Here is a 26,904-nt window from a genome sequence, read left to right as displayed (position 1 = left end):
GGATTGTTTGTTTTCTGTGTCATCACTGGCCCGTTGCGGCTGTTTAACGTCAGCAGAAAGACTTTTTCTGCCGTGGTTCGTTCACAAGGCGCGACTGTAGGTAGGACTTGGTTTATTTTTGTACCTATTCAAGTTTGTATTCTACCTCATACACAGTTGTACTAGGTGTATGGGCTGGCTGTGTTTTTATTATTGTTCTCAAACTTTTCGATTTTGAGTCAACTATAACAGCCAAGAGTTTGTTCCAAACATTAATAGATAAAATTCTGGTTGTGGAAATGCGCTGCAAACTGCTAACCTCTGTACAAATGTGAGAAGTGACTGCTTTATTATTTTTAATAGTCAGAATTCATTTACCTTGAGATATGGGTAGGAGATTTGGAGGTTTCAGTAAGGATTGAACATACTTCGCGGCTGCAGAAATTTAGTCTTTTTTCTTTCTCTCTCTTCCTTTACTGAGATCCCCAAATAACGAATTAAGATCCATGCTTCCGCGCAGGCACACAGGCGTTTGACCTGGTTGCAGTCTGGTTCTCCCAGGCGGATTAGGGGGTGGTCGGCTTTCACTCTTCTGATGGGATAGATGACTTCCGACTTCTGATAGGATAGATCCGCCGGTTCTTGCGGGCTGCTGCTCAGCTGAGACTAGACCCCGCACCCAGCCCTCACTGCCCCCCCCCCGTCTATCTCGGGGCCTGGCCAGCAATGTGGCGGCAGGTCCAGGCCGGCTGGTGGGCCAGGAGCGGTTTTGCGCCACGGGAATGAGCCTGCAGGCCTCTCACTTCAGCCCTCCAGTGGTCAGGCGGTAGGAACCTCAGGGTGGTATCCTGTTATGTATAGTTGGGCCCAAGTGGCTTCTGCTCAGAATGCCCCCCGCCCCCCACAGGCATCCTGCGAGAGGCTACAAGGCAGGAGACCAAGCCACGGGGATTCTCAGGGGGCATCACCTCAAGACTGGGACTGGAGCTTACCAGGAACCGGCAGGAGCAGGATGGAGAGGGAGGCTCAGCTGGAGCAGGAAGCCCTAGAGGCTGGTCAGGCCTGGTGTCTGGGTGCCTTTGGTGCCCGGCTGCTCCACTATCTGGCTAAGGGGAGTTGCAGAACAGAAAGCAGCCTGCTGTGTGCATGTCTGTTTGTGCTTTGTCTAGCGTGAAAATTTAGCCCATGGGCAAGTAATTGTGTAGTCTGTATCTGCTGCAAATGTGTGTGTACAGTGTCAGTTGTGTATTGGTGACAGGGTGGGAGGTGTGTGTGTCTGTCATTCGCCTGCAGAGTGGGCATATATTTTTGGCATTGTAATAATCATATGGCTAACACTTAGGAAGTGCTTACTGGGACCACAGTGTGTGTGGCATTCATACCTCATTGGTGATGTGTGCATTTGTGGGTGTGTATTCCTGGCTTGCTGAAAAATAAAGTAATATGGACAGAGCCTTTGCTTCATCAGGCAGAGGCTCCCTGTTCTGAAGCTGGCTGTCAGCACTCCCCCAACTGCCGTCTCAAGCAGAGAAAGCAAGGGAGGGAAGCTTCCAGGACCAAGCCCTGGTGGGCAGGTAGCAGCCCACCTCCAGTGAGACGGAGAAGTTGGCCGGGGCCAGCAATGAAGGACCAGCCTGTCTCCTCCCCGAGAACTGAAAGGCAAAAGGCACCCAAGGCTGGGAAGAGAGCAGCAGCCTCACCAAGTAAGGAAGACAAAATGAAGCAATCAGTGAGGGTTTCCTGGGTCTACACAGGGATTGAAGGAGGTGAGAGAAGGGAGCCAAATCATACCCCACTTCCCCATGGATGCCCACAGGAAAAATCTGTCTAACTCCAGCCCTCGGGATTTCTCCAAAGCTCTTAAGTTTGGTCATTTTCCCCAGGGCCGAAAGTTTAGTTCAATGGCAGGCTTTCTTCATCTCTCATTTCCTTTCTCTTCTCTCCCTCTTCGCACTTTTGAGTTTCTATTATAGAAGCTGATTTAAGCAATTCCTGAGGGCAAAAGTATTTGAGTTATATAGCAATTATGCCTTAGCATATACAGTCTGGCCTAGATGGCTGGGCCATGTGAGTGTGTGTATATATATTGGCCAGTGTGTAAATACAATGTAAATAGAGTTTAATACAAATACCCAGCCAATTTCTGAATGTCCTGGGTAATGAGTCGTTCTTGCATGAAGATTATGTGTGTGGTGGGTGTAAACATCTCACACACTGCTGACAGTATGAGCCCTCTCCTCACATTTACACAGAAATTCTTAGAGTCACCTCCACCTCACTAAAATTGCCCAGTCAGAGTAAGTGGGTTGGTTTGGAGAAAGCAGGGGGAGGTGTCCTGTTCTCAAGAGGGACCTGGAGAAATCTTCGCCATTGAAGTACATGCACCAAGGGACTGTGGGAAAGGGACCTACGGAGTTCTGGAGATGGTCCTGTACCCTACTCCAGAGGGTATTGACGTCCTGTTTCCAGCTTGCATCAGTAAATAGTTCACTGCTCCAGATCTGAGGCTTAGATGAGCAAGAGGCCCTGGACCTTTCATCCGAGGTTAGGTGCATCCAGCCTTTGCCAGGGTTTCCTGGAAGCCAAGGCTGGAGATGGGGCTGCAAGGAGCCCCCTGGCGGCGGGTGGAAATTGGGGCCAGACCCAGGCTTCATGCAGCCAGACAAGCAGAATATGGGCCAGGAATCTGAGTCTGGCCCAAGATAGTTTGCTCTCAACTGAGCTCTTCCCTTTATGAAGGTCTGGGCCAGGCTTCATGGACAGGATCACCGGACCAGACTCCTGGCTTCTGGGTGGGGGTCTAAGGCCAGGAAACATCTTGATCAGGCTCAGCATCCCTGCAGTGTCCCCATTCTGCAGATCTAACCTGGTGGTGACCCTGGGGCCCTGCCCGTCAGGCCTACCACCACTGTGTGGCAGCCCCTACTTCTTGGAGTAGACTGTGGGACCCATAGAAAAGATGGGGAAAGGATGGGACTAAGAGCCCCATGCCTTCGGGACAACCAGGAATTAAGGATTCTTAAAACCGAGCAGTCTTAGCAACTTTCCACTTTCTGGAGAGAGGACTCCCAGCTGTCATAAAAAGAGTGTCTTGGGTCTAGGAACCCAAAATTACATTACATTTGAGGAATCTCAGGTCCTAAGAAGAGAAGAGACCAACCAGAGGTCTTCCAGGTATCTGTGAGGCAAATGGCCTCCGAAATTTTTAAAGGAGACTTGACAGCAGCTGAGCCTAGCTGCCACTGATGCTCAAGGGAGCTGCGTAGTAAGGGAGAGCCTCCCAGGAGTAGTAAGGGAGAGCCTCCCAGGAGAAGAAGGAAGCACAGTCTGAGCTGTGCCTTTTGCCTTTTTTGTTTGTTTCTGTACCACAGAAACTGCTGCTGCACAGGCTGTTTGCCGCACAGGCTTGGTGCTGAGCTGTGAAAAGCATGTTCTGGGATCTTGTCACTTCGCGGAGGTGGCCTGTGCAGCATGAGGCAAAGACCTGGCCTGTTTAGTCAGGAAGAACTGGGTTGGAGCCTGGTGTCCTCTTTAACAGCTATGTAACCTTGGGCAAAATACCCATTCAAATTTCAGTGTTCTCCTCTATAAAACAGAAATACGTGCGTGTATCAGAATTATTAAAATAATTAAATTTTCTAATTTTTAAGTGCCCAGTTTATAGTAGATGTTCAATAATGTTTTTTCCCTTCCCCTATTAAAAAAAAAAAAGGAAGGAAGGAAGCAAAAAAGGAAAGAAGAAAGGAAGGGGGAAAAAAAACCTTTAGTAATAACTTTCTAGGATTTGACTTCCTAACCCAGCTGGCCACAGGCACCCCCTGCGAGCACCTTCCGGGGCCAGGCGCACGCGATTGCATCCACCCTGCCCTAGCCCCTTGGCCGTGGGAGTGAGGCTCACGCGGTTGCCGTTGCAGCGAACACCCAAGCCCTGAAGGCACAGCTGGTGGGCGCTGAGACCCCGCCCGGGGCTCCTCCAACCTCCCTCTCGCTTCCCCCAAAGCGGTCTTCACACGTTTAGGAGGTTTTCTCTGAGAAAGGCCGTGCTGACCCGCGAAGCGGCACCGACCCAGGGACCTACTCATAGGCTGTCCGGCTGGCGCCTCCAGTCCTCACGCGCCTCCCTCGACTGGTTGATTTTTTCTTTTTTTTTTTTTTTTTCCTTTTCTTTTTCAGAAAAGCAGAAGGTAGCCACCGGGCCAGAGGTTGCAGGGTCAGCCTGTGGGCGAGGCTCCCCTAGGCCTTTGTGGAGAAACGGGAAACCTGAGGGGCAAACGCAGGAAGCGGGTTGGGTCAATTGCGGGCGACCGAGGCGCCGCCAGCGGGTGGGGAGCGAGAGGGGCCAGCAGCCGGGAAGACCCCGGCCTGGAGCGCCTCGTGTCCCCGGGCCTGTTGGCGGCGCTGCAAGCCCAGGTCTTGGGGCGCGAGCTAAGTCCCCCTTGCCAGCTCTAAACAAAATTCGGGGGAGAATGAGTCGGCCAGTCTGGGCACAGGGTGCTCTCGACTGCCGGGCGGCGGGCGGAAGCGCAGGGGCCCTGATCGCCCCCAGAGGTGCTGAGCGCACAGGGCAGTGGCTGCAGAGCCCCGGCGCGAGGCCAACTCGGATCATCCACGTTGGGACCTCAGCCTGCCCGGTTGTCCTTAGTAATAATAATAGTATGAAACCGAGTTTTAAAAAACCTTTCCCCGCATTTTCCTCTATGTACAAGGGAGAACAAGTATTTCTAGGCAGTCAAAGAAAAAAAAAGGGCAGGATCCCAGGAAACTTTAATCTCTATGGACGAGGAGTGAAGGGGAATTCGCCTTTTGCCTTTTTTGTTTGTTTGTTTCTAGAAGAGAAAAAAAGGAAATTCGACACATATTTTTAAAAATCTTCCCCCAACAACCGCTAAAGGCTGTGAGTGTGAGCAGAGAGCCAGGAAACCGAGCCCCCGCCCGCGGTGACACCGGGCCTTTGTCCTCCTTCCTGAAGCCCCCGCGACTGCTGACCGTGCAGAGATAAAGGCCGGGTCAGGGCCCTGTGGAATCCCGAGGGAGGGGCGGCGGGGCCGTCCCATTGGCCCCTTTCAACCCCATGTAGGGGGGTTAGGTGGGCCCAGCTGATCCCCGGAACAGGGGCTACAAGGCCAGGGGCTGTCCCCACCCCCAGGCTCAGACGAGGCACGGATCTGCCTTTCCCCACCCCCCCGAAAGGCTTCTGCCGCTAAATTCCTTGCACCTTGCTCCTACCAGCATTATATTGTCCTACTTAAAGTCTCTGGAGGCGTTAGGGACAGTGGCTCCCCACCGGACCCGATCCCCAGAAATGGAATCGTGCTCAACCTCTGTGGCGACTCTGGTTTTCGCGACCGCTGGGCTCGGTTGGCCGGCCAGATCCGAACCCGTGCATCGCCTGTTCCAGCTGCGCCTCTCAGGGGCGCCTCTGTGCCTTCTCCGGGCCGCGGAGACTCCTCCAGCGCCCGGCCTCGAATTTTCTGCGCAACGCTCTCCTGTCAGCCGCACGGTTCTGCAGAGAAGGCGGGAGAGTGTTTGTGACCCTGCCCTGTAGCTTTCGGTGACTTAAAAACCCAGGTCGCTGTGGAACCCAGTCTCCACGGCATTGCCTTTGCAGGCAGCAGCCTTGGGCTTACACCTGAGGTCGTTTTCTCCACAGACACTTCTGGGTGATGCGAGTGCTGCGCAGCTCAGAACCCTTGGAAGCATGAGAGGAGGACGAGCCCGGCGGCCTGCCGGTGCGGTGATGGAGGGCTCTTCGGTAGCCACACTGCGCGCCTCCCACACACACCTTAACAGTCTTGGGGCCCCGGGCCAGCGCTGCAGCCCAAAGAGACCCTGCAGCCGCATTTTCTCCCAGGCCGTGGCAAACCCTGGCTTCGCCTCCCTTCACCATGGCTTGTGAGGGCAGGAGGCTCCCGGGGGCCGACTTCCCTGACCTGAATGAGTCAGGCACCCTTCTTTATTTTAAGTGGGGGTGTGACCTGAGGAGATAAAGGAAGGACGACAGACCTGGGGAGTGGGGCCCTGCAGCCTCTTGGGCCCGGAGCGCACTCCTTCTCGCTCCCTCCCCTCACCGGCAGGATCGGGGGTCTTGAAACTGGAGCCGCTCACCGGCCGGCGGATGAGAGATAAAGGAGCCCGGCGGCGCCGAAGCGCTGACCAGCAGACCCGGATCCGGACTTTCCCGCGCTCCAGAGCAGCACCCGAAACCCTACTTCCCAGGTGGCACCGACGGCTGAGCAGCTCCTCCGGTGCCATACGGTGTCTCCAGGCACAGACAGTCGTGCTCGCGTGTGTACTGTGCACGCACAAGACTGCAGGATGATGTCCTGTATGAGCCCTGTATTAGCCCCTTTGCTCTCAGCCAGAGGTACACGCATACGTGTGTGCATTTGTCAAGTGTCTAGGGACAGGTGTGCACCTTCACACATACGTGATGTGTATGTGCACACATTTGTAGAACGTTCTAGCATCTATCCTACAGGCACGTACAGGGCTGGCTGCTTCTAATAAGTCATCATTACACCTCGCATTTACACAGGCCTTTTCAGTTCTGGCATGATTTTCAGAATCACCCCGGGAAATACTCTCCTTTCAAAGTTTACAGATGAGGAAACAAGCAAAAAGAATCTAATGGGTACCCGTTTGCACACACTGTGAGAGAGATCGAGGCCAGCCAAAGATCCCGCCCACTGTTGAACTTGGGTGTGTTGGCCGAATGTGCTCATAGATGGGTCTGTTTAGCGCCCCAGGCGACCTCAGGTCCGGCGGGCCTTGGCTCTTCGCCAGGCTTCCTGGGAGACCCACTGCGCCGGGTGTGGGGTCTCAATTCCTGTGCTGATAAGCACTATCTTCTGGAGCTGGGTGACCCTAGTGCCCAGGGCGGGAAGTCGGGAGCTGGCCGGAGTGCCGCTGAGGCGATCCCGGCGGTTCCAAGGCCATGGCTGACCACGCGCAACTGGGTTGCAAAGCCTGGCGGGCCTCGGTCTCTAAAGCAGCCACGCCAGGCAAACGTGCGATGAAAGGATCCTTTCAGCCCACCTACAAACCCAGGAACCCAGGGTTGCTGGAGCAGTGAGGAAATTCCTGCTGTCTCGAATCCCTAGCGCCCTTACGAGACTCGGAGCCCACAATGCCCATTTTACAGAAGTGATTAGTCGGAGGCTAGAGCGGTATAGTGAGTTGCTCAAGTTCAACGCCAGTTGAGTGGCCACAGTCGGGACTGGAATCCCCAATTAAGTGTGTCTGGATCCTTGGTCCACAGTCCCTCTGCCCCCAGCAAGGATCGCTGGTCCCTCTGTCTCCCGCGCGCCCAGGAGCCATCCCGCTACTAGCCTCCGACTTCCCTCGCCAAGAATGCGAAAACTATCATAGCTCTCACCAGCATCATTTAAAAGGTTTCCACATGCTTGGAATCTGTTGCTTGAAAACAAATTCCCTGTGTGCGTTGGCTTTCTAACCCCTCCTAAGGCATCTGGTCCCCCTCCACCCTCTAAGCCCTTGCCGTCGCAGAGTGAGGCTGCCTAAGGGCTGTAGCTTGACCACATCCCGGGGGTGCCCTTGGGCCTCTGCGCCGGGCTCCTGCAGACTGAGGTCGCTGGTCTCTGGGCTCCAAGGCCGCCTCTACCCCGCAGAATCCGGGAGCTGGAAGGGAGCCCGCGGTTTGGCGAGGTCGCCGTTCGGGCTCACGGCCTCGAGGCTGCCCTCTGCTGGCACTGGGCGACATTACCACCGCCTCCCTCGGCGGCTCAGGAGCTGCACCCACGTGAGGGGTTCGCGCAGAGCCAGGCGACCCCATTCTCACTGGGTCCCCAGAGTGGCTGCCGCACCTGCAGCCACTGACGAGACCCTCCCGTATTTCTCAATCCGAGACTTCTCCCCGCAGACACCAGAGGCTCCGGTGCTCGGACCCAGGGACAAGGCAGAGAGCCGGAGCTCTGCGCTGGCAATCCCGCCGCTTTGCGGCGCCCGCCGGGATCCGCGGCCAACCAGGCACGGCCACAGGCGGACGCTGGGGGACTCCGGGGATGGCCCCAGGCTGTGTTCGTCCCCTTTACTCTCCGCCACCATAGCATTGATTGGCGCCCACGGGTCCCGATCTACCTGCCCTCCCCTTTTCAACCTTACTTGATGGTGGCCCAGGCGCTTGGCTGCCTCTGTTTCTTGTAGTGCACTTGTCTCTCCAACCAAATTAAGAGCGCCTCGACGACCGGAAGGGGCTGCTCCCTACCCGCACGGCACAGGCCTAGCTCAGGTTCTGCCGAGACAGAACTGATTCCAGAGGCCCCCATTCTTGCCCTTGAAATAAACTTTAGGCAGTGAGGCGAAGAGACACTTCTGCCTGCTGCATCCATTCTAGACAGGGTGGGGTAAAAATTACTCAGTCATCATATCTATGCATTTCCAGTGCTATGTATTAGGACTTTAACATTTTCACTTTTCCCCTCACAAAGATAATTGAAACTGAAGAAAATTGGGAAAATAAAACATTAAAATGCACAAAAAACACCAACGCGACAATAATCCCATCCCTCCTCCCACAAGGTAACCATGGTTAACATTTCGATGGCATCTTTCCAGTCTTTTATTTATATATTTCAATTAAAATAAGCCTAATTTCCATAATTAACAAATATACATAAAATTTGCAGTTTTGTATCCTGCTTGTTTAAACCTTTCGCCATAGGGTTTTTCTCCATATCTTATTCTTTGAAAAATGATTTTCAATTATTGCTTAATAATCCATCCTTTGGATGAACCATAATTTTGTTATACACCAGCACCAATTATCTGTTTTAGGCCCAGGAAAGTCTCCTTAAGCCACACTCTCTGGATCCGTCTGGATCAGTTAATATATAATCATATAATCAGTAGTTGATCAATAAATGTTGAGCCTTTCTTTTTAATTTTTTGTTGTTGTTGTTCTTTTCTTGTTTGTTTTGAGATGAAGTCTCATTCTGTCGTCCAGCTTGGAGTGCAGTGGCACCAGCTCAGCTCACTGCAACTTCTGCCTCCCAGGTTCAAGCAATTCTCCTGCCTCATCCTCCCGGGTAGCTGGGATTACAGGCGCCCGCCACTACACCTAGCTAATTTTTGTGTTTCTAGTAGAGACGAGGTTTCACTATGTTGGCCAGGCTGGTCTCAAACTCCTAACCTCAAGAGATCTACCCACCTCAGCCTACCAAAGTGTTGGGATTACAGACATGAGCCACTATGCCTGGCCAATGTTGAGTCTTTTGCTAGCCTAACAAAGAGAGTCATGGTCCCATTCTCAGGACACAAAAAATCCACCCAGATATTAGGGACTGCCTTGACCTAGAAGAGGGCCTTCTAGCCCCTGCTGCCAGCCATCTCCCTCTGCTGGAGACCAGTGTAGCTGGGGTGGTGAGAGGGACATCTTGAAAGATGGCAGGAACCAGCAATGTGTCTGAAGAGCTGTCCTAGCCTGCTTCTAGGACCAAAGCCCTGTATCCCCAACTGGCACACAAGATGATGTTTGTGACCTGGGCTACTGTGTACAGTGTCTTGTAATGGTTAGGAGTCAAACATGCCTTCATGTAATCCTGGGTCTTCCCCTTAAAAGCTGTGTGACCTCAGAAAAGCTGCTCAACTTCCCTGAACCTCATTCTAAAAATTGGAATAATAATGCCTACCACATCAAGCTTTTGTAAGTATTCAAACAAATGACACACTTAGCCTAGGGCTGTACAGATAAATTATCAATACACCATAGCTACTGCTTCTTTTGGCTCTGCAGCTGCTATTGCTGTTGTTCTGGCATTAGCTGTGGTCTTGGGGACCACTGCAATTGCCCTCTCCCTCAACTTCTGACCCCATTGCTACTGTTAAACACAAGCTCAAATCCTGGCACTAAGCCGGATCCAGGTCCTCAGGGCTGAAGGAGTCATTTCCAGCATTCTGGTTGGGCTGCTCAGGACCTTCTGACAATCAGGCCTGGGCTTGGGCTGTTTATACTAGAACCGTTAAAACAGGAAAATATGCAAACCCTTCATTCACAAGGATCCGGCTATTGTTGGGTCAGAAATGATATTTTTGTTTCTAGAGTAAAAGGTATATTTGCTGCCTTACACACACACACACACACACACACACACACACACACACACTTTTTTTATTCTTTTGGTTGTGTCTACAGAGCTCAGAAGGCAAAGTAAATGATCTGGTTCATTTGACCAGCTCAAGCAGCCAACCTGGAAAAGTCCCTTTGGCCTGATTGATGTTTACATGTACTCCAACGAGCCTGAACCTCACTGGGCTCTGTTTAGTTCATCCACAGACTAGGCCCTTATCCATCTCCCAGACAAAATGCCTCCAAAATCCATCTCCCAGAAATGATAGGTTGATAGCAACACCACCTCCATCTAGGATGCAGTTAAAGAGGAATTTAATTTTTTAAAAAATTAACCCAACCAGCCTGATCCCAGTAGAATCAACTGCACATCAAAATTTCATGGAAAAAAGTTTTTAAAACACAGATTTCAAGATCATCTTCAAACTAAACAGCTTCTGCCTCTGGAGATGGCGCTTGGCAATCTGTGTGTATCTGTAGTTCCTCCAGGTGATTCTGAAGAAGCCTGTGGAGCCACATTAGGGAATCACTGCAGTTCTCAATTGAATTGAAAACAGGTTTCTCCAGGTGGCCTCCAGAAAATGCAGATTCCAAACAGTCTTCCGTTGGGACCACATGGAATGAGAAAGAGCTTGGGTGTAACTGTGGTGGGGGAAGTGAATACATATTTGTTTTTATGTGCTTTTGATGGGCTGTTGTCTGTGCACACGGCAGGCCTCTTTGGTCACAAGTAACATAAACCCACTAGAGCTGGCTTTAAACCAAACGGGTGGCTGGGGTGGGGGGTGTTTTTATAAGGATTCATGAGTGACCCCTGGAGACCCAGGCAGGGTGGTAGCCAGACTCCCTGAAGGGCTATGCTGCAACAGGAGCTGAGGTGATGGCAAGAACCAACTTTTCCTGCTGCTCTGGTCAGGTCTCTCCTCTGCTCCATTTGAGAGAGGAGCTCCAGCGACAGCTATAATTTCTGAGTGTCAATTCAATCTTCCTGTGTGAGAAAGCTGATTGGTATCCTGGGTCAGGTACTGTCCTGGAGATACACCCCAGTCCTGTCAACTGGAGCTGAGGAAGAGGGTCTGCTGGTAGCTTCTGATGGTCGCTCCTTGTGGGAAGAGGGCAGTCATGGCACTCATGAGAGGCTAAGCAGACACCCCAGGAAGTCATTTGTTTCAGTCTAGCCTGTCCAACCACTCAATCAATAGCTCAAGGATTTTTGATCCTAGCTGCACTACAAAATTGCCTCAGGGGCTTTAAAAACCTATTGTGCCTTGGCTGGGCGCGGTGGCTCACGCCTGTAATCCCAGCACTTTGGGAGGCCGAGGCAGGTGGATCACGAGGTCAGGAGATCGAGACCATCGTGGCTAACACCATGAAACCCCATCTCTACTAAAAATACAAAAAATTAGCCGAGTGTGGTGGTGGGCGCCTGTAGTCCCAGCTACTTGGGAGGCTGAGGCAGGAGAATGGCATGAACCCGGGAGGCAGAGCTTGCAGTGAGCCGAGATCGCGCCACTGCACTCCAGCCTAGGCAACAGAGGGAGACTCCATCTCGAAAAAAAAAAAAAAAAAAAATATTGTGTCTTACCTCCATGTCTTGGGTGTAGCCAGGGTATTGAGATTATTTTTTTAAGCAATGCTGGTGATTCCAATGTACAGCTAAGGTTAAGAACCACAGCCAGGAGCAGTGGCTCATGCCTGTAATCACAGCACTTTGGGAGGCTGAGGCAGGCAGATCACCTGAGGTCAGGAGTTTGAGACCAGCCTAGCCAACATGGTGAAACCCTGTCTCTACTAAATATACAAACATTAGCCGGGCATGGTGGCACATGTCTGTAGTCCCAGATACTCAGAAGGCTGAGACAGGAGAATTGCTTGAACTCGGGGGGCAGAGGTTGTAGTGAGCCGAGATCACACCACTGCACTCCAGCCTGGGCAACAGAGTGAGACTCTGTCCCCCACAAAAAAAGAACCATGGCAATAACTAAATAGGGAACCTACAGCCAATTTAGCCATTTGCTAAAGATATAGCTTCAAAATATCCAATGAAGAGAAAAATTATTAAAATCTAATGGTTTGCACATGGCTTATTTTCATCTAAATTGTACATACCCTAGTCCAAATTTCAAATGCCATGATTATTCACATTTGACATTTTCTAAACTTCTTGACATAAATGTTATGTTAAGTTCCTTTTGTAAAAAACTTGCCTTTCTGGAAATCCTGAGGCACCAGAACATAGGATGGCTCCGCATGGCCTCAGCTGACCCTCAGGCCCCTATAGACCACCAGCCCCTTCTTTTCCAGGGTCTCCAGCTTGCCAGGGTAGTCTCAAAGCCCCCCCAAAAAAACCCGAATTACACTGATCTTGCTTGCCCCTGCCCACAGGCCTGTGCTTCAGGGTTCCCACCCAGGAGCTTCTGACACATTTTCTGGAGGCCAAAGAGGATAAACTCTACCCCTTCAGTCAAGCTGGCAAACACTGATGAAAACTTTGTCCTAGTCCAGGTGTAGTGGCTCATGCCTATAATCCCAGCATTTTGGGAGACTGAGGCAGACAGATCATCTGAGGTCAGGAGTTCAATACCAGCCTGGTCAACATGGTGAAACCTAGTCTCTACTAAAAATGAAAAAAAAAAAAATGGCCAGGCATGGTGGTGCATGCCTGTAGTCCCAGCTACTTGGGAGGCTGAAGCAGGAGAATGGCTTGAGCCTAAGAGGTGGAGGTTGCAGTGAGCCGAGATGGCACCACTGCACTCCAGCCTGGGTGACAGAGCAAGACTCCTCAAAAAAAACAAACAAAACTTTGTCCTAGTGCATGGCAGCCTTGAAGAATATCTTTATTTTGCTTTGTTTCCCTTCCTTATAGTTTTCCCTAAGCAATTAGTCAATCAACAAATAGTTCATAAATAGCTATGATGTGCAAAGCACAAGGTAAAAAAAGAAGGATCACTTCAGAGATCTTGTCACTGGGAGAAATGCAACAGCAACCCCTCTAGGCTTGGCCTTGCATGGATACTAAGGTGCCTATTAAAGGGATCTTTCCTCAGCTGTCTATTCTTTTTAGCTTAACCCAGGGCTAGGACTCAAGCAATTATAGAGGGTGAGGGATGGCAGCAAATAGAAGGGAGCTGTCCTGCCTGGCTGGGTGCAAGAATGAGGGTGGGGTATGAGGGATGCTGCTCTTCCCATGGCTGAATCACCCTGAGAGCTGTTTCCTGCTTCCAGAACCAGAGAGCACAGGCAGCACAAGACAAGACCAAACTGCCTTTTCAAAAGCGGAGAAAGGTGATCAACACAAAGACCAGTGACTGATGGAGGATGTCCAGAGAGTGGGGCTGGGGACAGATACCATGACATTTGAAACTATAGAGAGGGCTTGGAGATCCCAAATGAAGTCTAGGGCTGTGATTTTCAAAGTGTGGAACCCAAATCATCAGCAGCACCTAGGACCTTGTTAGAAATGCAAACTCTCAACCCCACCTCAGCCCCACTGAATCAGCAACTCTAGGGTGGAGCCAGCAGTCTGTCTTACGAAGGCCTCCAGGTGATCCGGATGCAAACTCAAGTTTGAAAACAAATGGTTTACTCTAGGGAAGCCCTCATCCCACACATCCTGCACCTAAAACACATGGCTGGGTGCGGTGGCTCATGCCTGTTATCCCAGCATTTTGAGCGGCAGAAACGGGAGGATAACTTGAGGCCAGGAGTTTGAGACCAGCCTGGGCAACATAACGAGACCACCCCCTCCCCGCCCCCCACCATCTCTACAAAGAATTTAAAAATTAGGCACTGGCCGGGCTTGGTAGCTCATGCCTATAATCCCAACTACTTGGGAGGATCCATGGAGCCCAGTAGTATGAGGCTGCGGAGCTATGATTGTGCCGCTGCACTCCAGCCTGGGCAGCAGCAAGACCTTGTCTCTAAAAAACAAACAAACAAAAAAAGAAACACTTTCAGGCTTTTAGATCCCTGAATGGTTTCCAAGAAGCCAGGCAGGAATTCTGATGTTACCCCAACAAGAATTGTTGCCACTGTCCCCCCAGCCACCAGTCTCCCCTTCCTACTCCCTACTCCCTACCCCTCACCCCCAAACTCCTCTTGCCAGGAATGACTGCTGGCCCAGGCCAGTGACAGAGAGCCAGGAACCTTCTCTAGAGGCTAGGCAACTTGAGCAGAAGCATCCCCCAGAGAGGCTGCCTGGAGTCCTGAAGCTGTTACCAGTTTTTTCTCACAGGCCTTTGGCAGCTGCCCATTTACCTGCCCAGGGTGCTGGGAAATTCCAGTCCCTGAGTTTTGGGGTGGGACTTGGTTGGTTCACTATAGGACAGGAGTGACCAATCAAAAACAGGCTCCAAAGGGGATGAAAGAAGCTAGGCACATGCATCACTTGTTGACTTCGTAGGTGGGGGGTGGGAGGGCTGTATTAGATAGTTTACCCACTGCAGACCTCTCTGGGACTTAGCCATCTGAATGCCAGGATAGTGGTAGTGGGAGACTCAAGGCCAAGTTGCTTCCATCTCCATATTTACTAGCTGGTTCTCAGAGAGTTTTCCCTGGACCGATAGCACCAGCATTCCCTGAAAAAATGCAAATTCTCAACCTCCACTCCACCTGCAAAATCAAAAACTCTGGAGGTGGGGCCCAGGAATTCGCCCTGTAACAAGCTCTCCACGAGATGCGGAGGCTCCCTCACTCAAGTTTGAGGACCACTGACCTTGGGGTGCCCCAACAAACAAAGGATCCAGGCCCCCGCGGGCCGTTGGCCAGGAACTCCGACTTCCCCGCCCCAGTCGCCCGGAGCCCCTCAGTGCCGTGTCTCCGTGTCCCCGCCAAAGATCGCAGGATAGGCAGGCCCGGGGCCGTCGGCGGCAGCCTCGCAGGGAGGAATGGTGGGTGGCCTTGAGATTCCTCTCTGGCTTATTTTGTTCCATTCCGGGAGTAATAATTTGTTTCGTATTGGAATCAAAGGGCCTTTCGTGGCTCTTCCGTTCTATCTCGTCAGCTCTCATGCCCAGTAGGAAGAGGCTCGGCCGCGGTGCGGCGGCTGCTTCGCATTAGGGCGAGCGTGGTCCCCATTAGGCCACCAGCTCCATGCAGAGCTTGTCTCCACTAATGGCACGCATCTGACCGGGCTCTGCGCCGCGACACCCAGGGACCACCCCACGTCCCCCCGCACTGTTACAGATGGCCCCAGAGAAAAGCGGAACTGGGTGGCTGGAGCCAGCCTTGGCAGTCCGAAGAGCTCGTGTCCACTGCCTGGAAGTCACAGCCATGAGTGACTCTGTTTAGTGTCAGACGCTGACCCCAAAAGAGGGCTACAGGCCCTTGTCTCTTCAGGGGAAGTAAATACACAGGCCCTTAGACTTTGGGACCCGGGCCTGCCAAAAGTAACTCCTAAGGAGGAAAGCATGGCAGGGTTTCCCTGAAAGGGTGAGAGGAAAATGGCTGCGTTTTACCTGTCTACCTAGCACCTGTGCCGGAGCCCCTCACAGATGATCAAGGAAACACGGTAGACCTGTTTTTCTCCTGGTTTAGCATCCATTTTACAAACAGTATAGAACATCTAATGAAGAGAATATCAAAAACAAAAAGCCATAGCCAGGCCTCCTGCCTTAATATCCCTTCCAGACAAGGAGGCACTGAAAGCAGCCCCCACCACCCACTGGGGAAGGGGATGGTGTCCTCAGCCCTGGCCAACCAAGGCCGCATGCCTTCCACACACACCTTCTTAAGGGTGACAAAGGATCTGTGCTGTGGACCTGCCAGGGTGTGGAGAAATAGGCAGACCCCTGCAACCACCAGAGCAAAGAATGTTACACAAAAGGCCCCATTGTTCGGGTCAAATTTCACACTTATTTTCTTTGATTTTATTAAATGTTTTATTGCACAAACAATATTGTAGTAATCATGGAAACTCGAAATTCAGATGGAAAGCCAATAACCATCCAACGTCTAACCACTAACAAAGCAATTCTTTTCATTTTTCCATATTGGTACACAATTCCCAGCTGTTTAACAACTGTATGACATATTATATGTCATACATATGTATATGTATAACATATTCAGCCACATGGATGTGGCCCAATTTATTTAATTCCTACATTTAGGATGTTTCCAGGTTGTTCACTACTATCAAAGGGAAACATTGCAATGGGCATTTGGAGATTTGTTTCTTTCCTTTATTTATTGAGGAATGCACATTATTTTAATAACTTTTATGTGATTAAATAGGCAATAGATATTTTTTGCAGGGAATTTGAAAAATTCAGATCATAAAAATCAGCCATAATCCCAAATGCCCTTTTGCTCATTAAGCTTTTCTCACCTCTGGGCTGGGCACAGTGGCTCATACCTATAATCCTAGAGCTTTGGGAGGCCAAGGTGGAAGGATTGCTTGAGGCCAGGAATTCACAAGTAGCCGGGGCAACATAGCAAGACCTGTCTCTACAGAAAAAAAAAAATTAATTAGTCGGGCATGGTGGCACATGCCTGTAGTCCTAGCTATTCAAGAGGATTCCTTGAGCCCAGGAGGTCAAGGCTGCAGTGAGCTATAATCGTGCCACTGTACTCCAGCCTGGGTGACAGAGCAAGACTCTGTCTCTAAAAATAAATAAATAAATAAAGCTTTTCTCACCTCTGAACTCTTACAGCACATGTTCTCTTTACCCCCATGATTTGACTCAGTTGTTTTCATCAGGTCTTACTTTGCGTTTCATGGCTGTTTGTCTTTTCCATACTCCTTAATTGTAATATTATTGAAGGCAAAAACCATGCCTTTTTCATCTGGAAATAACCATGATAGCTAGCTTTTATTTGGTGCCTATTCTATGCCAGCCATGATACATTATCTCACTTAGTTCCCACAAACTATATTTCCTTTTAATATGTAAGGAAAGTGAGACTGAGCAAGATTAAATAACTTGTGCAGGGCCCCCAGCCAGTAAATAGCACAGGGACAGAGGCCAACTCCACATTCTAACTGGGATCTTGCCACTGTAGGGATGTAAAGTAGAACTGTATTAGACAGATGACCTCTAAAATTTCCTGTGATTCATGACAATATTAATCTAGCTGTGGTTTAATAACCTGCTATATCTGCATCAATTACAATACAATACTGTGGGATTTTATTTTAAAAGGAATGTAAATAATGAGGGCTTTATTATCTCACAATAAAGAAGACAGAGATTACTGGCTGTAGGCTATAGGTACAGTCACTCTAAAACTTGGGCACAAGCCCTGCTACTTGTATCTTTTACCTCTGTGGACTGTAACAGACATCACATTCAGAATTTATTTTTCTTTTTTTTTTTTGAGACAGAGTCTCCCTAGAGTAAGACCCAGGCTGGAGTGCATTGGCCAAATATTGGCTCATTGCAAGCTCTGCCTCCTGATTTCAAGCCGTTCTCATGTCTCAGCCTCCCAAGTAGTTGGGATTTTGGGATTACAGGCATATGCCACCATGCCCAGCTAATTTTTCGTGTGTTTGTGTGTGTGTGTGTGTGTGTGTGTGCGCGTGCATTTAGCAGGAATGGGGTTTCACCATGTTGTCCGGGCTGCTCTCGAACTCCTGACTTCAAGTGATCCACCTGCCTTCAGCCTCCCAAAGTGCTGGGATTACAGGTGTGAGCCACTGCACCTGGCCCACATTTAAAATTTAAAAAAAGAAAGAAAGAAAGAAAGAAAAATTCTGATGGGAAAAGGAGCCATTTCTTCCAGACTCTTTCTTAGAAGTCTGATCCACTCTCCCTGAATCCCTCAGTAGAGTTCCCTATTCATCTCATGGGCCAGGACTGAGTCTGTTACATGCTGGTTCCTAAACCAACTGTTGGCAAAAGAATGAGACCACCATGGCTGACTCAGATAACTGGGATCTGCCTAAGAGTAGAGGCCAAGGTCTCTATGATTTTGTTGTTGTTGTCGCATACTCTGCTTATGTAATTTTTTTTCTTTTTTGAGACAGGGTCTCACTCTGTTGCCCAGGCTGGAAGGCAGTGGCACAATCATAGCTCGCTGCAGCCTCGAACTTCTGAGCTCAAGCGATCCTCCTGCCTTGGCCCCCCAAAGTGCTAGGACTACAGATGTGAGCCACTGCACATGGCCCTATGTAATATTTGAGTTACTTATATCCTTGAACAAAATCAGAGTTCCCTGACAAGGAAGAGAGGATGAAATGGCTGATAGGGAGACAGATAATACTATAATCTTAAAATAAAAAAAAGTACCAGCTGGGCACAGTGGCTCATGCCTGTAATCCCATCACCTTGGGAGGACAAAGTGGGAGGATCACTTGAGTCCAGGAGTTAGAGACCAGCCTGGGCAACGTGGCAAAACCACATCTCTACAAAAAAATTAACCGCTGTGGTGGTGCATGCCTGTGGTCCCAACTATTTGGAAGGCTGAGGTGGGAAGATCACCTGAACCTGGGAGGCGAAAGTTGAAGTGAGCTGAGACCTCACCACCACTGCACTCCAGCCTGAGAGATAGAGACCCTGTCAAAATTAAAAAAAAAAAAAAGGTACAGAAATAATGAATATATGTGAGCTACAAGTTAAGCAGTCTGAATATTTCCTTCTCTCACTTGGAATATTATTACTCATCTTTATTTATTTATTTATTTTTGCAATGGAGTCTCGCTCTGCCACCCAGGCTGGAGTGCAAGAGCGCTACCTTGGCCCACTGCAACCTCTGCGTCCTGGGTTCAAGTGATTCTTCTGCCTCAGCCTCCTGAGTAGCTGGGATTACAGGTGCCCACCACCATACCTGGCTAATTTTTGTATTTTTACTAGAGATGGGGTTTCACCATGTTGGCCAGCTGGTCTCGAACTCCTGACCTCAGGTGATCTGCCCGCCTCAGCCTCCCAAAGTGCTGGGATTACAGGCGTGAGCCGCCGCACCCAGCCTATTGCTTATCTTTAAGTCAGTCTATAGTTGTAAATAAATCAGCTAGATTTAACTGGGTGTTTGTGTTTTAAACTACAAAGTTTTGCAGGATAAAGAAAAAGGAACTCAATGTATGGTCTTGAGACTGGACTGCCAATGGGATCAGAGGTCTCTCTGTCTCTCAGCAGCCCTGTCTCTCTCTCCTGGACTGCATGATCTTTCCCAAGACCTCCCTGCTTCTTTTGCATGTCCCCCTGTTCTCTGCTGAATTGACCACTCCCTCCTGGATTTGTTATACATATGGCCACTGAGGACCCTCCAGCCCCTACTCCTTCTACAAATTGAAAACCTCTCTTGGAAATTCTTAATTCCAATCTCCAAGGGACAAACTACTTGAGGCTACTCATCCTGTCAAGACAAGTCACCTCAGAGGTTGCTGGCCTACCCAGTACCTGGAATGGTGGCCCTGGGGTCACAGGCCAGCCTTGGTCCAAGAAAGAGGACAGGGTCACTTGTCAGAAAACCTTACTGCTGAACACCTCCCGGGTTCAAGTGATTCTCCTGCCTCAGCCTCTGGAGTAGCTGGGACTACAGGCGTGTGCCACCACACCCAGCTAATTTTTGTATTTTTAGTACAGACGGGGTTTCACCATGTTGGCTAGAGTGGTCTCAAACTCCTGACCTCAGGTGATCCACCCGCCTCGGCCTCCCAAAGTGCTAGGATCACAGGCGTGAGCCACCGCACCCAGCCAGAGAGGAAGTGTATTTGTATATTTCACCCTGTCTTTCACAGGGGTTGTTTCAATGGCAAGCAAGTGAATTGAGCCAAAGAGACCCAATTGCAGAACTTTTGTAGGGACTGAAGGCAAAGAGAAGCTTCTTTCCACTAAGATTGATAGCTGTGGGGAAGAAATAAGCCCAAAACTTTAGAGAGCACCCAAGTGGAGAAAGCCTGCATGGGAGTAAAGCCAGCACAAAGGAAAGCAGAACAGACAGGAGTAAGACTGCGCTCTGACCACGCTGTTCAAGCTCCTGGATCCAGTTATACCTGAAGACTTGCCATGAGTTTTCAGTGACAAACCAATACACTTTCTTTCTTTCTTTTTATTTATTTATTTATTTATTGGAATTGTAAACAACTTAAGCTGAGTTTCCGTCATCTGCAATTGGAAGACTCCTAATACACTGGGCCTGTGTTACGGAGAAAAAAGCCACAGGCTGAGGCAGAAGAGTCCTCCTCAAGAAGGATCCCAAGAGTCCCAGGACCACAGGCAGCACTGCCTCCATGCCCAGGTCACAAGGTGCAACTCAGATCAGGGGAGGAGTGCTGGGGTGACAGCCTGGCTGCGAGGGACCACACAACTGTGTGGACCCTCTGGATCCTCGAGGACTGCAGCTTTGAGTGGCTGTCAGATGCACCCTGGGCAAGAACGTAACTCACAGCCATCACAGGCGTATAAAGCAATGGCAGAGTCACCACCCTCCACAAGGGGGCAGTGTGGTCCAAAGTGGAAGTAGGTGAGAGAAAAGCTTGTTACTCAAGAAACATCCCCTGTGGACTCCTGGAAGCACCCAGAGGAAGGGCAGTTTTGCAGTGAGCTGAGATCTTGCATTCTGTAGATGGAAACTGAAGCTGCTGATGCCTGGGTTAGGGCTGGGGGCCCCTAGCACCCACAGACAAGAGAAGCTCAATAGTTCCTAGTTTCAATAATTTTTCCTGAAGATGCCCTGGGAAGATGGCAGGTGCTCAGAGGAGATGATCATAGGCTGTACCTGTGACCCAGGCACACCAGCATGGCATGAAATTGAAGAGACGCCAGGCCCCAAGGACATGCAGCCCTGGGAGCAAATAACGTGGTAATAATATCCGAAGACTGACGTCCCAAGACCCCTGACAATAGGCAGGATGGGGGCTTAGAGTCAGAAATTGGATCATTTAAAGAAGGCCACGTAGCTGGGCTTGGTGGCACACATCTGTAGTCCCAGCTATTTGGGAGGCTGAGGCAGAAGGATTACTTGAGCCCAGGAGGTCGAGGCTACAGTGAGCTACGATTGTGCCACCCTACTCCAGCCTGGGCAACAGAGCAAGAGCCTGTCTCTAAAAAATAAATAAATGAAAAAGGGGACCACAACTAATGCTGTTTGTTTCACACTTGAGTTTGTAAAGCAATAGTAAATTCTCTATATCAGGGGTAAATAATAAATTTTCTATATCAGGGGTCCCCAATCCCCGGGCCACCAACTGGTACGAGTCCATGGCCTGTTAGGAACCGGGCCGCACAGCAGGAGGTAAGTGTGGCAGGTTAGCCAGTGAAGTTTCATCTGTATTTACAGCTGCTCCGAATTACCACCTGAGCTCAACCTCCTGTCAGATCAGTGGCAGCATTAGATTCTCATAGGAGTGCGAACCCTATTGTGAACTGTGCATGTGAGGGATCTAAGTTGCCCACTCCTTATGAGAATCAATGCCTGATGATCTGTCACTGTATCCCATCACCACTAGATGGGACCGTCTAGTTACAGCAAAACAACCTCAGGGCTCCCACTGATTCTACATCACGGTGAGTCGTATAATTATTTCATTATATATTGCAATGTAATAATAATAGGAATAAAGTGCACAATAAATGTAATGCACTTGAATCATCCCAAAACCACCCCCCACCCCCATGAAAAATTGTCTTCCGTGAAACTGGTCCCTGGTGTCAAAAAGGTTGGGGACCACTGCTCTATATGTGGTCTCTGCCCTCTCCAGGGCAAGCTGTCAGGAAAGGGCCTGGTGTGTCTGAGGGGACTTGGGAAGGGAATCCCAGTAGCAGAGACATGCAGGAGCCCAGCTTCTCCATGTCCTGGACTCTCTATCTCAGAGTACATGGGGTAAGGTCTGTGGCATTTTCTCAAGCCCTGGATAGGACAGCCACAATTCAGCCATGTGACCTCTCTCCTGAGCATAAATACAAGCGGCCCAACTTGGAACCACTTAAGAAGCAGAAACCAAACCCCAGCGAGATGGAAAGCACTTCACGCATCATCCAGCTCAACCCCCTCAGGGAGCCAAAAAACAAAATAAAATAAAATAAAATAGGCTGGGGCCTTGCCCAAGGTGGCATAGTGAACTGGTGACTCAGCCAGGAGCCAAAGCCAGGCCTCCTGACCACAAGTCTGGAGCTCTGTACCCTGTGCTGCAGGCCCTCTCTCCTGATGAAAATCTCCACATTCCAGATGAGGAAAAGGAAAAGATTTCTGCACCCTGCGTTTATCTTCACATCTGGACTTCACACTCTGGAATTCAATAGTGAGAGCTCATCACTGTCATTTCCTTGGGATAATGCCTATTGCCCTGACCCATAAAGCTTCAGTCTTACTTATTGCCCCAAACCAGCCCTAGCCACTACTGAGTTAGATGGTAACAACAGTAGCAATCATTTATTGAGCATTGTATTCATCAGCATTCTCCAAAGAAACAGAAACAATAGGAGTTGGAGAAGGGCTTATTTTAAGGAATTAACTCCTGCGATTGCAGGGACTGGTAAATCCAAAATCTTATTTTTTTCCTTCCGACAAGATGGCCAAAATCCAAAACCTATAAGGCATGCGAACAAACAGGAAACTCCGGCAAGGGCCCACACTGCAATCCTGAGTCCAAAGGCAGTCTGGAAGCAAAACTCCTACCTCTTCAGGGACATCAGTCTTTTCTATTAAGGAGGGTAATCTGCTTTACTCAAAGTCTACTGATTTAAGGCCAGGCACAGTGGCTCACCCCTGTAATCCCAGCACTTTGGGAAGCTGAGGAGGGGCATCAATTGAGGTCAGGATTTCAAGACCAGCCTGGGCAACATGGCGAAACTCCATCTCTCCTGAAAATACAAAAAAAAAAAAAAAAAAAAAAAAAATTAGCTGGGTGTGGTGGTGCGTGCCTGTGATCCCAGCTACTCGGGAGGGTGAGGCAGGAGAATTGCTTGAACCCGGAAGCTGGTGGGTGAGCCGAGATTGCTCCACTGCACTCCAGCCTGGGCAACAGAGTGAGATTCTGTCCCGAAAAATAAAAATAAAAAATAAAATTAAAAAATTAAAATAAAAAATAAAATCTACTGATTTAAGTGTTAATCATAGCTTTAAAAAAATACCAGCCAGGTACAGTAGCTCACGCCTGTAATCCCAGCACTTTGGGAGGCTGAGGCGGGTGGATCACCTGAGGTCAGGAGTTCAAGACCAGCCTGGCCAACATGACAAAACCCCGTCTCCACTAAAAATACAAAAATTAAGGTCGGGCGCGGTGGCTCATGCCTGTAATCCCGGCACTTTGGGAGGCGCAGGCGGGCGGATCACAAGGTCAGGAGATCGAGACCATCCTGGCTAACACAGTGAAACCCCGCCTCTACTGAAAATACAAAAAATTAGCCAGGCGTGGTGGCGAGCGCCTATAGTCCCAGCTACTCGGGAGGCTGAGGCAGGAGAATGGCGTAAGAAAACCCGGGAGGCGGAGGTTGTAGTGAGCCTAGATCGTGCCACTGCACTCCAGCCTGAGCGAGACTCCGTCTCAAAAAAAAAAAAAAAGAAAATTAACAGGGCATGGTGGCGGGAGCCTGTAATCCCAGCTACTGGGGAGCCTGAGGCAGGAGAATCACTTGAACCTGGGAGGCGGAGGTTGCAGTGAGCTGAGATCGCGCCATTGCACTCCAGCCTGGGCAACAAGAGCAAAACTCCATCTCCAAAAAAAAAAAAAAAAAAAAAAAAAAAAACCTTCACAGTAACATTTAGGCTACTTGTTTGACCAAAAATCTGGATACCATAGCTTATCCTAATTGACACATGAAACCATCACAAGCATTCCTCTGTGCCAGGCATTCAGATCATCTCAACAGCATTTTGAGACAGCCGTCATTATCCCCATCTTACAGAAGATAAAACCAAGGGCTTAAGTCCAAGTCCACGGGAAGTTGCGGACTATATCTGGAATTCCAGTCTCCCCTCCTTCCTTGTCCATGACTTCCCCCATCTCACCACTGGCTCTCACTCGGTTGCAAGAGCCCAAAAAGTGTGTCTAGGCCACAGGTTCTCAGCCACTGACGCACATTACAATCACTGAGAAAAACTCATCACTGAGTTTTTCTCAGAGATGAAGCAAACCAACAAACAAAAACCAATGTTCAGACCCTACCCCCAGAGAGTCTGATTGAGCTGGTCAGAGGTGGGCCCCTGAGCATCAGTATTTTAAGCTCTCCCAGGTGCTTCTAATGTGCAGCAAGGCTGAGAACCATGGTTATAGAAGGTGGGACAATGCAAAGCATGGGTCCCTCATCTCTTTGGAGTAAAGATTGCCCAGCAGAAAATAACCACAACCTAAATGAAATCAAGTAGCTATAAAATAGCCTGTGGGAAAAACTAGCAAATATATTTCCTTTCTCAGCATGAAATTGGCCATTTCCCCTCTCATTTTTCAAGCAGTGTACAGTGAGTATTTCTTTCATTATTTGGAGATACAAAAGAGTGAAACTGAGTTTAATTCATGTGGGCAACAGGCATTTGGTGAGCACTTGCTGAGTGTTGGGCAGCCAGCAGTCAGATCTAATGTGGTTCCTGTCTTTAGCCAGCAAGCCACTGAGGGGGGCAGTAAAGCCCATGAAACAACGTGGGAAGTGCAACGACAGAAACTTGTCCCAAAGGTGCCAGAGCCCAGAGATGGCGACCAGCAACAGGCTGGGCAGGTGAAACACTGGGTTTGACACTGTGAAGCCTGTATTTTGAGAGACTCACAACCACAATGAATATCCCTCCCTTTGTTGTCGAGGCCTTGAGTACTCGAGGCAGCAACCCAACTGTGAAGGGAACCAGCCAGGTCTACCAGCAGATCCTTACCTATTCTACCAGTCCTTGGTGAAATGAGAGAAGCTTACATTTAGAAGCTCTTGGTATTAAAATATCCCTTCTTTTCTGAATTGATAATAGAATTTGGCTTTGCTAATAATGTCCTGATGTGCCAAATCAACAATTGACAAGTCTGTGTGGTTTGCCCAATACTCCATGGGCTCATGAACTCCAAAAACCTGGGAAGCACCACAGTAGACAATGGCCTGGGGCCTCACAAGAGCAGGAACCTCTGTGATCCTGGTTTATGAGCATAGACCTGTCCTCACTCTGTGTACCCCTGAGCTGCCTGAATAAACCACATGACATAGATTATCAGCTCTTTTCATTTTTTTTTTTTTTTTTTTGAGACGGAGTCTCACTCTGTCGCCCATGCCGGTGTGCACTGGCTCAATCTCGGCTCACTGCAAGCTCCGCCTCCCGGGTTCACGCCGTTCTCCTGTCTCAGCCTCCCAAGTAGCTGGGACTACAGGCGCGTGCCACCACACCCAGCTAATTTTCTGTATTCTTAGTAGAGACGGGGTTTGACTGTGTTAGCCAGGATGGGATTGTCAGCTCTTTGAAAGAAGACATCTATATGTTGGAGCATAATATCAGCAGAATTGTTGAAGTGGGCATTTTCAGGTGTTTATTAGGAACAAATAGGATATACATTCTATTTTATGAAATGAAATGTTCTAATAAAAAAATTTCTTAAGTAACAAAAAATGAACAAATATGATTTTGTACTATGTAAGGTAGAAAATAAAGACAGCAGGGCTGGGCTCAGTAGCTCCCGCCTGTAATCCCAGCATTTTGGGAGGCTGAGGCAGGCAGATCTCTTGAAGTCAGGAATTCAAGACCAGCCTGGCTAACACGGGGAAACCCTGTTTCCACTAAAAATGAAAATTAGCCTGGTGTGGTGGCACACATCTGTAATCCCAGCTACTTGGGAGGCTGTACCCGGGAGGTGGAGGTTGCAGTGAGCTGAGATCTTGGCACTGCACTCCAGCCTGGGCTACAGAGGAGACTGTCGAAGAAGAAGAAAGAAGAAGAAGAAGAGGGAGAGGGAGAGGGAGAGGGAGAAGGAGAAGGAGAAGGAGGAGGAGAAAGAGAAGGAGAAGACAGCCTAACTTTCCTATTACTGGAATCTGGACTTCTTGGACTGGACACCCCTGACCAAAGTGGGAAAGTGGACCACCAACCTTGGTTTCTGCCACCCCAGATCTGGGATACTGGCCCATCACTGATGTGACCCTTTGTAAGAAAATCAGATCAACTGAGAAGGGGGCATCCGTGTTATGAGTGGCTACTAATAAAACAAGGTATACCTAATACAAGCAAATAAAACTGGCCGGGCGCGGTGGGTCACACCTGTAATCCCAGCACTTTGGGAGGCCAAGGCAGGGATTACTTGAGCCCAGGAGTTCAAGATCAGCCTGAGGAACATGGCGAAACCTCATCTCTACAAAACAACAACAACAACAAAATTAGCTGGGTGTGGTGGTACCCACCTGTGGTCCCAGCTACTTGGGAGGCTGAGGTGGGAGGATCACCTGAACTCAGGAGGTGAAGGCTGCAGTGAGCCGAGATTACACCACTGCACTCCAGCCTGGGCGACAGAGTGAGACCATGTCTGAAAAAAAATAAGACGAAACAACAGGCAAACCTACTACAATAAAATAAAACTGGCCAGGCACAGTGGCTCACGCCTGTAATCCCAGCACTTTGGGAGGCAGAGCGGGGTGGATAGCTTGAGCCCAGGAGTTCAAGACCAGCCTGGTAAACATGGTGAAACCCCATCTCTACAAAAAAAAAAAAGAAAGAAAGAGAGAAAAAAAAAATTAGCCAATGCACGCCTGTAGTCCCAGCTATTCAGGAAGCTGAGGTGGAAGGATCACCTGAGCCCAGGGACGTGGAGGCTGCAGTGAGCCGTGATTGTGCCACTGCACTCCAGTCTGGGTGACGGAGTGAGACCCTGTCTCAAAAAAAATAATAATAATAAAATAAAACTGTTTTTGAATGGGCAAGAACTTCACAAAAAAAAAAATTAATCAAGTTATGCAAAAGGAAAAAAGTGAGAAACATCTGAGGATGCCCAATGCCTC

The 26,904-nt window shown here is 49.5% G+C and overlaps 1 long non-coding RNA gene across 1 annotated transcript, besides 2 other annotated features; it reads left to right on the top strand.

Annotated features, from left to right (window-relative positions):
* Positions 46 to 8,877, top strand: LINC01391 (long intergenic non-protein coding RNA 1391). The gene is made up of 3 exons (NR_121649.1): positions 46 to 100; positions 1,448 to 1,682; positions 5,630 to 8,877. It is a non-coding gene; the product is annotated as a long intergenic non-protein coding RNA 1391 (long non-coding RNA).
* Positions 7,525 to 7,819: an enhancer, noted in NCBI's record as "tiled region #3980; K562 Activating DNase matched - State 1:Tss". NCBI's record gives its function as "activates a minimal TATA promoter and a strong SV40 promoter by Sharpr-MPRA in K562 cells {active_cell/tissue: K562}" and the evidence as "EXISTENCE:reporter gene assay evidence [ECO:0000049][PMID:27701403]".
* Positions 20,512 to 20,561: an enhancer, noted in NCBI's record as "active region_20607". NCBI's record gives its function as "activates an Ori minimal core promoter by ATAC-STARR-seq in GM12878 lymphoblastoid cells {active_cell/tissue: GM12878}" and the evidence as "EXISTENCE:reporter gene assay evidence [ECO:0000049][PMID:35858748]".

This window comes from Homo sapiens, chromosome 3 (assembly GCF_000001405.40).
Source record: "Homo sapiens chromosome 3, GRCh38.p14 Primary Assembly".
Classification (NCBI taxonomy): domain Eukaryota; kingdom Metazoa; phylum Chordata; class Mammalia; order Primates; family Hominidae; genus Homo; species Homo sapiens.
The sequence above is the reverse complement of the archived record's forward strand: the minus strand, read 5'-3'. Positions and strand labels throughout refer to the sequence as shown.